Source organism: Homo sapiens, chromosome 1 (assembly GCF_000001405.40).
Source record: "Homo sapiens chromosome 1, GRCh38.p14 Primary Assembly".
In the NCBI taxonomy this organism is placed as follows: Eukaryota; Metazoa; Chordata; class Mammalia; order Primates; family Hominidae; genus Homo; species Homo sapiens.
Genome location: NC_000001.11, coordinates 16,604,268 through 16,618,255, shown reverse-complemented (window position 1 = coordinate 16,618,255; position 13,988 = coordinate 16,604,268). Strand labels below are relative to the sequence as shown.

The 13,988-nt window shown below is 44.8% G+C and overlaps 1 protein-coding gene across 33 annotated transcripts in view, besides 3 other annotated features; it reads left to right on the top strand.

The window, feature by feature from the left end:
- Positions 3,891 to 4,848: an enhancer, noted in NCBI's record as "H3K4me1 hESC enhancer chr1:16939903-16940860 (GRCh37/hg19 assembly coordinates)". NCBI's record gives its function as "activates a minimal SCP1, AML or CMV promoter by ChIP-STARR-seq in naive and primed H9 embryonic stem cells {active_cell/tissue: H9 hESC(naive and primed)}" and the evidence as "EXISTENCE:reporter gene assay evidence [ECO:0000049][PMID:30033119]".
- NBPF1 (NBPF member 1) overlaps positions 4,692 to 13,988 on the top strand; it is a gene marked incomplete in the record, with an annotated part of 51,142 nt that continues 41,845 nt past the window's right edge. For 31 of the 33 annotated variants that reach the window (NM_001405693.2, NM_001405684.2, NM_001405683.2 and 28 more), the window contains 2 exon segments: positions 4,692 to 4,918; positions 9,477 to 9,748. 33 annotated transcript variants of the gene reach the window in all.
- Positions 9,985 to 10,484: an enhancer, noted in NCBI's record as "H3K27ac hESC enhancer chr1:16934267-16934766 (GRCh37/hg19 assembly coordinates)". NCBI's record gives its function as "activates a minimal SCP1, AML or CMV promoter by ChIP-STARR-seq in naive and primed H9 embryonic stem cells {active_cell/tissue: H9 hESC(naive and primed)}" and the evidence as "EXISTENCE:reporter gene assay evidence [ECO:0000049][PMID:30033119]".
- Positions 10,485 to 10,986: an enhancer, noted in NCBI's record as "H3K27ac hESC enhancer chr1:16933765-16934266 (GRCh37/hg19 assembly coordinates)". NCBI's record gives its function as "activates a minimal SCP1, AML or CMV promoter by ChIP-STARR-seq in naive and primed H9 embryonic stem cells {active_cell/tissue: H9 hESC(naive and primed)}" and the evidence as "EXISTENCE:reporter gene assay evidence [ECO:0000049][PMID:30033119]".

Sequence of the window (13,988 nt, the reverse complement as noted above, 5' to 3'; positions counted from 1 at the left end):
CTATGTCAGTGTTCTCCTGCTGTCCTTGCCTGTGTGGGTCTTCTCCCAAACCCGACTTTCCTCCAGCGGCTTCACTGAAAAAGAGGAGGGGGCTGTGGGGGGTGGGTCGGGGAGCAGAGGAGGAAATAAACTGGATAGGGAGGAAGCTTCTCACAGGCCCGGAGAGGGTAAGGAAGGGAGTCAAAGACAGAATTTTCTTCAGCAAACAGTAAAAGGGGAAATCTGGGGATGCTAAGAGTTTTTAAACCCTTTGCTCCATCACATAAGTAATCCATGATTTTCTGTTCCACAAATCAGGACTCCTACTCCTCCCTCCCTCCCCATCCCCAATCCTGATTCCTGTTTACAAAGAATGTTGAAAAACAAGGAATTATGTATAACAGTTCCCAGTTTGCTCAGGAAATTCTCAGATTATAAAGAGACATTACAAATGAACAAGTGAAGAGAAGAACCTTGGTGGTTCCAACATAGTATGGCCATTGTTTTATACTCAAAATATAGAAAGACAACCTCAGAATAAGAAAACTTTTGGAATGGAATAAATCAAGTTTATCATTAAAATGCAAAGAAAAAAACTCTCCAAATGTTGCTGATCTTCTATTTTAAACTACTGTTAGACCGGAGAAGCGGAGAGCAGGGGAATCCGCCAAAGAGTTTTGGATGAAAATTAATCAGCCCTGTCTACCGTAGTCACACCCCACTGCCCTTGAGACCCAATCCTTCGGAAGGAGTGTCCAAGAGGTATAAAGCAAAACGAAAAAACAGTTCGCAAATTCCAGAGTTCGTTTTCTCTCATTAAAAATATAAATATCAGGCTAACACATGTTGACACACAATAACAGGGACACAGAATCCCTCCTGGAAGACCGACGGGCCCACGGACCCCACGGGTGCCACGGTGGTGGACGAGGTTAAGTAACTTGGTTCAGGGTGTCTGGGCACACCTCTGCGTGAGACTCTGTCTCTGCTGCTCCTCTCATCTCTACGCCGATTCCTCCCCACAATCCTCCCTTTTCCTTGGGCCCCCGACGCCTCTCCGACCAACAGTCTCCCCAGCCCCGCAGCTTCTCTCTTTCAGACCTTTACTTCTTGATCCTCACTCCATAGTGAGATGTGGCCTTTCAGCAAATAAATTGTGCTCAGGGAGACTGAAAGAAAGGGGTAAACCAGGATTAGTGCTGCAGGGTCAGAGCTAATGACACAAGCTTCTCTCCTCAGGCCTATTCATTTGAGATGCATCTCAGGCACTTAGGCACAGCAGTGCTAAGTTAGTACCAATTATATACATGCACACATAAATATATAAAAGCATATAAATATTACATATGTAAATATAAATTGTACCAATAAAATCGACATCAAGCTTGTTTTTAATCATTCACTCAAAATACATTGAACAGCTACTGTGCAAAGTCTTGGGACTGCTTAGAAACTTAAGACAAAAATATTGGGCCTGTAGTCCCAGGTGAAGCCTAGGCAGGAGGATGGCTTGAATGAAGGAGTCCAAGTCCAGCCTGGGCAGCATAGTGAGACTCAGTCTTTTTTTTTTTTTTCTCTGAGATGGAGTCTCACTCTGTCGGCCAGGCTGGAGTGCAGTGGCACAATTTTGGCTCACTGCAACCTCCACCTCCCAGGTTCAAGCGATTCTCCTGCCTTAGCCTCCTGAGTAACTGGGATTACAGGCACGTGCCACCACACCTGGCTAATTTTGTATTTTTAGTAGAGATGGGGTTTCACCATGTTGGCCAGGCTGGTCTCGAACTCCTGACCTCAAGTGATCCACCCACCTTGGCCTCCCAAAGTGTTGGGATTACAGGCATGAGCCACCGTGCCCGGCCGAGACTCAGTCTTTAAAATAATGAAGTAAAATAAAAACATAAACCTCAAACAAAAAGACAAACTATGATTTCAATCATTGTGAAGCTCTTGATCTAGTAGATGATATATATATATATATATATACATATACCAAAAATACTATAATTTCAGAGAAGTGCTATAGAGTCTAATGTTTAACAACTTCTGGCATTTGACTGATGGTGTTTAAAGCTCTTCCCGCATTTTCCAGGGGTATAAATCGAGGCAAGTTATTTGGTATTTACTGCATTTTGGCTTCTTCATATGCAAGGGGGTTATGATAATAATACCTACCCCATGAGGACGGTATGAGGACTAAAGAAAATCGTGTATGTATAGCCTCGGCCAATGCCCATAGACACTGAGTACTCAACTAGGTGTTAGCTAGCAGATTTTAAATTTGCATTTATTCGTATAGTTTTTAAGGTAAAATTTACATTCATTGAAATGTTAACTGTATGTTTTTTGACAAATGAATACACTTATATAACTCATATCCCTATCAAGACAGAGACCATTTTTACCACCCAGAAATTTCTCTCATGTAACTTCCCAGTCAATCCCCTGCCAGAGGGAACCACTGCTATGATTTTTTCACCACAGATTAATTTTCCCCTTTCTAGAATTTCAAATAAATGGGAAGGTATGTGCTCTTTTGTGTCATTTATCTTCACAGACTTTGAAATAAAAAAGTTACAATTTTAAACCTTTTGGGCATTTAGTAAAAATCTCCTTCCCACCAGTAGCCACCAGTCACCAGTCTTCATTTCTCTCTCTCTCTCTCTCTCTCTTTGAGACAAGATCTTGCTCTGTCATCCAGGCTGGAATGCAGTGGCATGATCATGGCTCACTGCAGCCTCAACCTCCTGAGCTCAAGCAATCCTCCCACCTCAGCCTCCCAAATAGCTGGGAGTACAGGTGCCCGCCACCACGCCTGGCTAATTTTGCTTGTATTTTATGTAGAGACAGGGTCTCACCAAGTTGCCCAGGTTAGTCTCAAACTCCTGAGCTCAAATGATCTGCGGGCCTTGGCCTCCCAAAGTGCTTGGATTACAGGTATGAGCCACTGTGCCTGGCTCAGTCTTCCTCTCTTAAAGCAACCAATGTTATTAGTTTTATGTGGGCCACCCCATGGCTTATCATTATTAATTCAGGTGTTTATACAAGGCTCTTTGAGAACTCAGTTTTAAAGGTTACCCAAAGCATCCTAAGACAACTCAGCCTAAAACGATATAAAATCAGTTTTAATATAACTGAAGTTTCTACATTCTGACTCCAACTGTCAGATTGTGACATTTTCTCTTTCTCTGACTTTATGCCAAATTTACTTCAACTTCTAGCATCCATCATTCTCATTTATGAACAAATATGTATTTAACAAATGTGGAAATACAAATCATGAAGCAAACAAAACCAAACCCTGGGCTTACGTAGCCGATAGTAAAAAATTCACCAAAATAACCACCCGATTACAGTTTCATGCAATGTGATAGGAGTAAGGGACCACCATAGGGAGGTCAGAAGGTGCTTTTCAGAGGTGGAGACTACAGCTGTTCTCAGAAGAATAGGGGTTAGAAGAACTTTCCAGGCACAGAGCAAAGCATGAGCAAAAGCTCTGTGGAGGCCAGGAAGCTGGTAAATAGGGAATAAAAGAGGCCAGTTTGGCTGGAGCAGAGAGAGCAGAACAGAATTGGTCTGAGTAGTGAGAAGAGATGAAGAAGTGGGCAAGGCGCCTGGCCATTCGGGGCTTGGTTAGTTAGGAGGTTTTGTCTAAGAGAATGGGAAGGTGTTTAAGTGCTTTAGGCTGGGAAGTGACACGGTCACATTATATTTTGGAAAAGCCACTCTGCCTGTTGTGTTGAGATTAGAGAGGCGATAAAGGGGATATGGGTAAACCACAAGAAGACTAGGTCAGTAGTCCCTCGACCCTCACTCCCCAGGTGAAGGCAGCCTAGACTAGGGTGGTGACGGAGGAGATAGAAGAGGACAGATTCAAGGAAAATTTGGAAGGTAAAAACCAGTAGGATTTGCTGACGGATGGAGTATAGGAGGGGAGAGGTAGATTATCAGGGATGTATCTTAGTTTTCTTATACAAGATAGATTCAGTTGCAATGAAATTGTTAACTGAAATTGACTTTAAATAATGGCATGACCTAAAGTTATGCAAACATTTGCCTTAGATAAAATATCAAGTTTTCAAAGTTTTTAGCTGGGTGGACGGCATGGCTTTACTTCCTATTTCTTGGTATTCTAATCCTGTTGAAAAAAAAAGTTTTTCTTTTTCTCAAAGGCTTATTTCAGTGGAAGCCCATCTGCAAAATCTGTTAATAAATTTAAATTAGAAAATAACTACAAGTGCCATTGACACATTGGTTATTCTTTTTGAGAGTGACCTAAGGCCACCTCTGGGAGAGCTGGGGGCTCTTCTGAAGCCTGCCCGACTGCACCGCGTGCCCGTGCCTGGAAGTCAGATTCGGGGCGGTGCGGCAGCGCGAGGCCTGCAGTCCTAAGCGCGGGGTCGCTCCAGCCCCAGAGGGGGTGTGTCTCCTGCCTCTTCAACCTGGCAGGGGCTGTTCAAGTGGCCGGGGAAACCAGCGATTTGGAGGGTCGAGGGCTGGTGCTTTGAAAGACAGGCGGAGGGGAGAGAGGGATTTCCCCGTCCCCGCTGCACTCGGTCCTTCCCCTGGGTTACTCCTTTCCTCCGCCTGCGCGGCCCCTAACCTGCTCGAACCCGTTGTGCAGAAGAGGCCGCCGGGTCCCTTTAAGGCCCCGCCGCGCCTGCGCCTTGGGTTATCCTGACACGCCCATCGGGATCCTGAGGAGCCAGTGGGCTGCAGGCGCAGGCGCAGGCGAGGGGCTGGGTGGCGGTTGAGACAGCGGCGGTACTGGGAGGCGTAGGTGAGGGTCGCGAGGCTGCCCGAGCTTCTGAGCGAGCGCGGTGCTTTTGGGAACGCGGGACGGGCGATCTGCGGCGCCAGGAGCTGGGCCGAGGCGCGGCGGCGCGGCTGCCGGCTGCCCTGTGAATGGGAAGTTACGCGAAGTCCACCCAGCGTTTCTGAGGTGAGGGCGCCGCGCCAGGCTGGGCGGGCGGTGAATCCGGGACCCGCGGGCGCACAGCTGGGTCGAGGCGCGGCCGTGGCAAGTTTTGTTGCGCGAGCGCGGGGGCGGGTGGGGGCTGTGGGGGGTCGTGCACCGCCGGGGCCTGAGTTCCCCGCGCTGGATTCTTCGCCTGCCGCTGCCGCCCGCAGCCCAACTCTCGTGGGCGCTGGGGAAGAAACTCGCTGGCGGGTGTTCTGTGGCATCCCAGGGGGTGGAGGGACGGAGCAGCTTCGGGGGCACGTCCTCCTATATCCTGTAGAGGACACTGACCCCGCACCCCACCCTCCAGGCCAGAAATCCGTTCCCTCTGCGGACCTGAGAGGCGAGCGCGCTCGCGCCCCTGACTTGCAAAGTTGGGGTCTTTACTGGCCTCCGGGCTTCTGCTCCTGGCGGTGTCTCCAGGCTGGTGATGGGCAAGCCAGGTGTGCCAGCTCCAGGATGCACATGAGCAGCATTTGTAGCCATCACTGAATCACCTCCTGACTAGCGGGGCAAGCCTCAAATGAACCGCAGGATTTCGGGTAGATTGGATTGTGGGGTTGCTGTTTGCACTCCAAAGAGTTGCTGTGATTTCCCTGCGTCTGGCTGGCTGGCTGGCTTCTTAGATCATCTCATGTGGCGTCCTTTCAGCGGAGAGTTAACCAAGACGTTTGGCCTGGCTTCCTTGTTTTCCTCCTATCTTTTGCTTAGAGCTGCTTTCGAAAAGAAGTCTTTTCTGGCAGTGGTATCTTTTCTTTGGGTTACAGTGTTGTTCATCCTTTCTTTGCCAAAAGAATGAATCCCAGTGCTTCAGGAAGTTAAAGAAAAGATCTGCTGGTAGTGTTCTGAGCTGATATGCGTTAGTAGCTTTTTGTTTTTAAATTCTATTGGTAAAATTTCACTAGTGAACCAGAAGCTACTTTTTCTATTCTGAAATGCTAGCTTTAAGATTTCTGAGAACTTTGCGTCAAAGAAATCTTGGAAAAGTTACTGAAGTATACAGAAGTTCACAATTTTACATGTGCAGGTGGCCCGGGCGCAGTGATCACACCTGTAATCCCAGCACTTTGGGACGCCAAGGTGGGTAGATCACTTGAGCCCAGGATTTCCAGACCAGCCTGGGCAATGTGGCAAAACCCTTTCTCTACTAAAAATACAGAAGTTAGCTGTGTGTGGTGGCGTGTGCCTGTAGTCCCAGCTACCCGGTAGGCTGAGTTGGGAGGATCACCAGAGCCCGGGAGGTTGAGATTGCAGTGAGCCGTGATCATGGCAGTGCACTCCGACCTGGATGGCAGAGTGAGACCCTGTCTCAAAAAAAAAAAAAAAAAAGTAATGAATTTTTACCAAGTGAACCACCACAGATCAAGAAATTGAACATTACTAGTCTGGGGTATATTTGTAGGGGTGGCATTGTTGGTTTTAGAGGTATATGAATGATAAAACTTTAGTATTACATATTGTTGAACATTTTCCCAAAGTAGTTGTACCATTTAGCAGGGATATGCTGGTTACCCCACATCTTCGCTGATACCTGTCAGTTAAAAATTATTTTGCCATTCTAGTAGGGGTGCAGTAATATATCAGTGTGGTTTCATTGAGATTGAGTATCTTTTATTGCCATTTATATGTCCTCTTTTGTGACGTGCCTGTTAAATCTTTTTATCCAGTTTTCATTGATATGCTTGTTTTCCTGTTGATTTGTAATACTTTATTCTGGATATGCCTCCTTTCTAGGATTTATATGTATTGCATTTCCCTTTTTTCAATCTGTAGCTTGCGTTTTCACTCTTTTATGGTGTTTTTTCATGAAGGGAGATTCTCTTTTTTTTTTTTTCTTTTTGAGACAGGATCTCACTCCATCGCCCAGGCTGGAGTGCAGTGGCACAATCACAGCTCACTGCAACCTTGACCTCACAAGGCTCAGGTGATCCCCCTGCCTCAGCCCCCAAGTAGCTGGGACCTACAGGGGAGTACCACCACACTCAGCTGTTTTCTGTATTTTTAGTAGAGATGGGTTTTGCCACGTTGCATAGGCTGGTCTGGAATTCCTAGGCTCAAGTGATACACCTGCCTCGGCCTCCCAAAGGGTTGGGATTACAGGCATGAGCCACTGCACCCAGCCTGAGATTCTTCATTTTAATGAAATTATACTTTATTAATCTTTTCCTTTATGGTTACTGTTTTTTGTGTCCTGTTTAAGAAATCAATGCCTAACCTAAGAGTATGAACACATTTTTCTGTGTTAACCTTATAACGATTTTATTTTAGTTTTTGCTTTTTTTTTTTTTCAGACAGGGCCTCAGTCTATTATTGCCCAGGCTAGAGTGTGGTGGCAGGATCTCAGCTCACTCAACCTCCATCTCCTGGCTCAAGTGATCCTCCCACCTCAGCCTCCTGAGTAGCTGCGACTATAGGCATGTGCCACCATGCCTGGCTAATTTTCATATTTTTTGTAGAGATGGGGATTCAACATGTTTCCCAGGTTGGTCTCGAACTCCTGGGCTCAAGTAATCTGCCCGCTTCAGCCTCCCAGAGTGCTGGAATTACAGGTGTGAGCCACCCCACCTGGCTATGATTCACTTTTTACTACATGGATGTGTCTGCTTGATCCAGCACCATTTATTGAAAAGACCATCCTTTTCCTTCCGCACCATGTGGCACTTTTTTTCATAAATCGAATGACTGTATGGTCATCTGATTTATGAAATTAGTGTGGGTCTGTTTCTGTTTCTGGACCAACTTGGGTAACATAGTGAGATCCCATCTCTACAACAAATAAAAATAATAAATAAATGAATAAAATTTAAAAAATAAGTGCGTAGAGCAGATGGAGTCATAGGTGATAATTTATAAATGATTGCCAGTTTCTTGGCTACATATGGGTGTTGGTAATTCAGATGTGTTGGGTGTTCAGGCAAAACGTATTAAGTGAATTATATGGTGTTCAGAATGATTGCTAGATGTTCATTGTGACTTGAATTAGATGTTATTTGAGCCTCACAGAGCTACAGTTTTTACTCTTTTATTTATTTGTCTTTTTAAAATTTTTACAATCTTCCTGTCAAGGCAGTAACTCTTTTATACTTAATTGTTCTTAAGTATACTTAATTACCAGAAAAGCTTTATGGATCATACCTAAATAAGTGTTAAGCCATTTAAGGGGCTCACGTGCTGTGATATAAACAATAGTATTCTACATAATAGTTTTAGGACTACATCAAATAATTTTTTTTTTTTTCTTGAGACAGTGTCTCGCTCTGTCGCCCAGGCTGGAGTGCAGTGGTATGATCATGGCTCTCTGCAGCCTTGATCTCTCAGGCTCAAGCACTCCTCCCACCTCAGCCTCCTTAGTAGCTGGGTCTACAGGCATGCACCACTGTGCCCGGCTAATTTTCTCCTTTTTGTAGACAGGGTTTTCCTGTAGTGCCCAGACTGGTTTCAAACTCCTGGGCTGAAATGATCCTCCCACCTTGGCATCCCAAAGTGTTGGGATCACAGGCATGAGCCATCACACCTGGCCATTTTAGTTTTAATAATTTTTATATTTTTCTAATTTAAAAGATGTACTAAAATCTCTTACAGCTATTATTTATGAATATAGTATTCATTGTTGTTATTATGATGATTTTGTATGTGTTTAATCTGATTTTCAATATAAGCTCCTGGCAATTAGAGATTTTGTCTCTTTGATTCACCAGTGTATTCTCAGTACTTGACCTTGCCTGGCATGAAACAGATATTGAATAAATATTTCTTAAATGAATGAATGAATGAACATACTAATACCATATTCAACAACCTCCGAGTATCACAGTTTTCACCATCTAACAAATAAAGTAGCTTGTATAGAGTAGAGTCACAGTCAACCTGCCATAAAAGGACATGTCAATGAAAAATAAACCTTCGTATGTGTAGCTGCTAAGATTTTGGGGCTTTTGTTACCGTAGCATAACCTAGCGAAAGCTCAGAGAGACAGCATATACAATATACGTGTACAGATAGACCAGCTAGACCAGTAGATGAGATTCCAAAGCTACTTTAATAAGCATTAACTAACGACACCCACACTCTCTTAATTCCCTAACAGAAATAATGGAATTCTTGTTCACTAAGATCTGCCTCAAATATTACTTACTTTGTGAAAACTTCCCTGGCTACTCTAGTATTTAGTCAGGACTCTTTATTTTTTTCCCCCCAGGCTGGAGTACAGTGGTGCCATCATAGCTCACTAACCGCTAACTGAAGGCTCAAGGAATCCTCCTGCCTCAGCCTCCCAAGTAGCTGAGACTACAAGTGTGCACCACCATGCTCAGCTTATTTTTCCTTTTTTCTTTTCCCAGACGGGGTCTTACTATGTTGCCCAGGCTGGTCAGGACTGTTGATTACATATGACAGAAACCCAACCACCTCTAGTTCCCACCACCTTTCAATCTGCTCTTCCCTGGGTCTTCCCAGTCTCCGTAAATGGCAGCTCCATCCTTCAAGTTACCGAAGCCCTAAATCTCAACGTTAACCTTGATTTCTCTCTTTTATCTCACAGGCAATCTGAAGGCAAATCCTGTTTAGACCCAGGCGAAGGTTCCCGGTGACCCGGGCTCTCACCAGCCAATTGTCCCTTGCCGTCCTCCTGAGGGTGCCTGGAGCTTAAGCACTGTGTGCTCTTGGCCTCCACACTGGGGATGCCGCTGACTCCCACTGTCCAGGGCTTCCAGTGGATTCTCCGAGGCCCTGATGTAGAAACTTCCCCATTGGGTGCACCAAGAGCAGCCTCACATGGTGTGGGCTGACATCAAGAGCTGCCAGATCCAACAGGTAAAAATCCCGAGGCATTGCCAGCTCAGTGGGGTCAGAGAGTCCTCTTTGTATTATGACTCAGATGTGAAGGGAAGATGTCAAGGTCCCTAAACATTGCAGGGCCTTGCTTGGCATGCAACAGATATTAAATAAATATTTGTTAAATGAATGAACAAATATCCACAGCATGTGCTGCCCATGAGCTGCAGTGCCGTGGTCAGGTAGAAGTGATTTTACTTCAGGAGAGGACAGTGTTCTCTCCAGGACTTTTCCTTACTAGCTAGATCTGCATCCCTCTCCTCACTCTTCCCCTCTCACCCCCCATTCTCTGCCCCCATTTCTCTCTGTTTCCACCCTGCTGTCCCCTTTCACCTGCTTTCTGCTCTTCAGCTTTGGTGGCTCACCCCCTCCCTGTCCACCTGCATCCCCCAGGCTAAGGCTCCTACACTGTCCTGGGTGGGGAGATGTGTCTGGTTTTAGGCAGTGCCCTCTGGATGTGTCCAGGATGGGGAAACATGGCTCAGTTGCCAGTATAATGGGTTAAAAGTGGCCACTTTTGAAGGCCTTTCCCATCTCCCATTCCAGAATCCTGTAGACTTAGAATTTATGGGCCACAGTGGAATTCTTGGTTCCCCAGGACCTTGTGGTGGACGTCTTCTTTCACTGAGCATTCATGGGGTGACTGTGAGGTAGTAGGCCCTGCTCTGGGCTAGAGGCCCCACAATGAGTAAATCTCAGGTCACTACCCCATGGAACCCACTACTGCAGGCATTGAGAGGGGGAGAAAGAAAGGGGCATGGCCTGTTTGTGTTCTTCTCATGTGGTCACCCACAGGTCCTGGGGGAGTAGGAGCCAGTGCAAGGAGAGAAGTCCATTGAGAAAGGCAAATGGATGACATCAGACCCAGGGGCTGAGGTCCCCAACTGCAGCTGGGTAGCTTCTGGAGTGGACAAGGAGCAACAGGGAAGTTCGTGGCCTGGTGTTCTGGGATCCACTGTCTCATCTCATTCTTGTGGGCACCAGAACGTATCCAAAGACAAGACTCAGTGTCTCTGGCAACAGTGAGCCAGAGATAGAATGTGTTTCAGAGGAGGAGGAAGGGGTTGTTGTACCCCATGGAAACAGTATATTGTTTTACAGTAGCGTGTCTTTCTCTAATAACTACTTAGCGTGTTCCTGTTAATGGAAAATATTGGTGGTGTAAGTTTCCCCACTGTTCTCATCTTCATGTAAATTTGTTCATTTCCTTCCTTCCTTCCTTCCTTCCCTACTTCCCTCCAACTCTCTTTCTCTCTCTTTTTATTCTTTCCCTCCTTCCCACCCGCCCTCCATCCCTCCCTTCCTTCCTCCTTCCCTCCTTCCCTCCCTTCTTTCCTTTCTTCCTTTCTTCTTTTCTTCTTCTTTCTCTCTCATGCTCTCTCTTTTTCTTTCCTTTTCATTCTCTCTACTTTTTTGAAGAGATCACACTGTACTGAAACCTACATTATTTTCCAAAATCTCTGGATCTGCTTCTGTCTTGCAGGCAGAGAGCTCATCCAGTAGCCCTTAGCTCTTCCCAGCCCCCTCCTTTGATTTGTGGGTGCCACTGCGGCAGCTGCTGAGTCTCAGTGGTTTCTGGTCTTCACCAAGTTCTGCCCACCCAGATGGTTTTTACCTGTCCTCACCAGAAACCTGCACTGTCTAGATTGCTGAGGCTGCTTCTCCTTAACCGATCTGCTATCTGTATTCCAGGGGCACCCCAGGGTTAGAGGTAAATGGCACAGGCCTTGAAATCTCCAACTGCTCTGACTCCAGGTTGGTGCACTTCAATGCCAAGTACTAACCACACAATTACAGGATGCCACCAAAACCTTGATATGGGGCTGCTGCATCCTAATTAAAAAAACAGTTAATAGACATTATTTTTTAGAACAGTTCTAGGTTTACAGAAAACTTGAGTGGATAATACAGAGAGTTCTCCTAGGCTCCCCTGTCCTCCAGCACACAATTTTCCCTACTAGTATGTTGTATTAGTGTGGTCCATTCATTACAATTGATGAACCACTGTTGATACGTCATTATCAACTAAAGTCCATAGTTTACATTAGAGGTCATTCTTTGAGTTTCACAGATTATGGGTTTTGGCAATTACATAATGTCCTAAATCCCCAATACAGCATCATGCGAAAGAGTTTCACTGCTGAAAATTCCCTGTGCTTCACCATTTCACGCGTCCTCCTCTCCTCCACCCCTGACAACCACTCACCATTTTACTACTTCTATCTTTTTGACTTTCCAAGAATGTCCTAGAGTTGGAGTGGTACAGTATGTGGGTTTCCAGACTGGCTTCTTTCTAGCATTATGTACTTTAAGTTCCTTCATGTCTTTTCATGGCTTGATAACTTGTTTTTTAAAATCAGTGAATCAGATTTCCTTGTATGGCTACAACAGTTTGTTTATTCTTTCGCTTGGTGAAAGACATCTTGGGCACTTCCAAGTTTTGGCGATGATGAATAAAATTGCTGTAAGTACTTCTGTGCAGGATTTTGAGTGAACTTAAGTTTTCCAAAGTGACTGTACCCTTTTGATTTCCACTAGCGATGGAAAGTTCTGGTTGCTCCTCATCTTTGACAGCATTTGGTGTGTTCACCTTTTTGAATTTTAGCCATTCTAAACAGCTTATCTGCCCCTACTGTGGAATGATGTGACAGACATAGAATAACACTTACAGTGATTCTAGTTCAAAATGAGGCAACATGGAAGGGATAAAGAAGTCACTGACCCAAAATAGTTTGGAAATGGAGCTGGGCAAAATCCAGCAGAAGTTTCTTAATTAGGATCGACAGCCTGGGACCGGCCCGCCGTCCTGTGGGTCTTTGCCTCTGGGCTGTCTGCTGTGCATTTCTTGGAACCATTATTATTTATCTTTTTTTCTCACACTTTTTTGGGTATGGCTTCTATCGCACTCCAAATGTTTTTGAGATTCATCCATGTTGTTCTGTGTGTCACCAGTTTGTTCCTTTAGCCATTCCATGGAATGAGTGTATCACAGTTTATTGATCCATTCTTGTATTGACAGATACTTGAATGTTTCCAGTTTTTTGTATTATGAATAAAACTGCTATGAACATTCTTGTATAAGTCATTTTCTGGACATAGGTTTTAGTTTCTCTTGGATAAATGCTTAGGAATTACTGAGTCATAGAATAGGTAGTTGTTTGTTTCTGTAAGAATATGCCAGATATTTTTTCCCAAAGTGCATATGCTGTTGTACCTTCCAACCATTAGTGTACGAAGGTGAGAAAGCTTTTGCTCCTTCCAAAGAGGCCTCTCTATATACATGTAATTTTTTCTAACTGGAGATAGGCTGGTGACTTCAGGGACATGAGCATGGGATACAGGACACCTGTCATGACCACCACCATGAAATTGGGATTCAGGAAGGAGGCTAGTCATATAAGGAATCCTGTGACCAGCATGAGCTTCTATCAGGCCACACAGGGCACTCAAGTGAACAGGGCATATGGGGTCCTGGGGTCATGGTGAGAAAGGGTCTCATTGGTAAAACCTTTTCCCTTGGGGAGGTAAATAAATTCTTGGTTCCTTCTTGGTAGCCCTTGAAGATAAGGATGGTCAAACAAAATAATATTATATCTGCAGAAAGTCAGATCTTGGTAAGATTTACTAGTTGGGAATCCAATGTTAATGCCAAGAAGCAGCTGCCAGTTGGGATCAAATGTGAGCCTATGGATCAAGGTGCGTACTCAAACACAGAGAGCTTTTTGAAAGATGCTACCAGCAGTTTTTCCAGGGCAGAGATGGGTCCTTTATTTTTCTCTCTAATCTAGCCCATATGCTTAGCTGAGAAGGTTTCTTCATATCACTTTAAATGATGATGTCCTTGTACAACAATTTTCGAAACATTCTTTAGATAAGAATTTTATGGGCATCCTTTATTGCATTAGGCTCAAATTTCATGCATCTTAAGGTTTTATTGCAAAGTGTTGCCTTGTTTCCTTTTTAAGATGATACAATTTGTAACACGCAAGTTTGCTGTCTGTCCCCTCCCTTTATGTACATATAAAATGAGCAAACATGTGGCCATGAAACAGATGGTCATAGAATTGGTTCAGTGGTTGTGAGTTCAGCAACCCAAGAGAGTCTTATCTGAAATACCACCAGGAATGCCTGGACACAGTAGACAAAAGTTGTTCAACTGGACGCCTTAGGATACACGCTACCAAAAACAAAGTAGCCAAAAAGGAACCAGAATAACAGA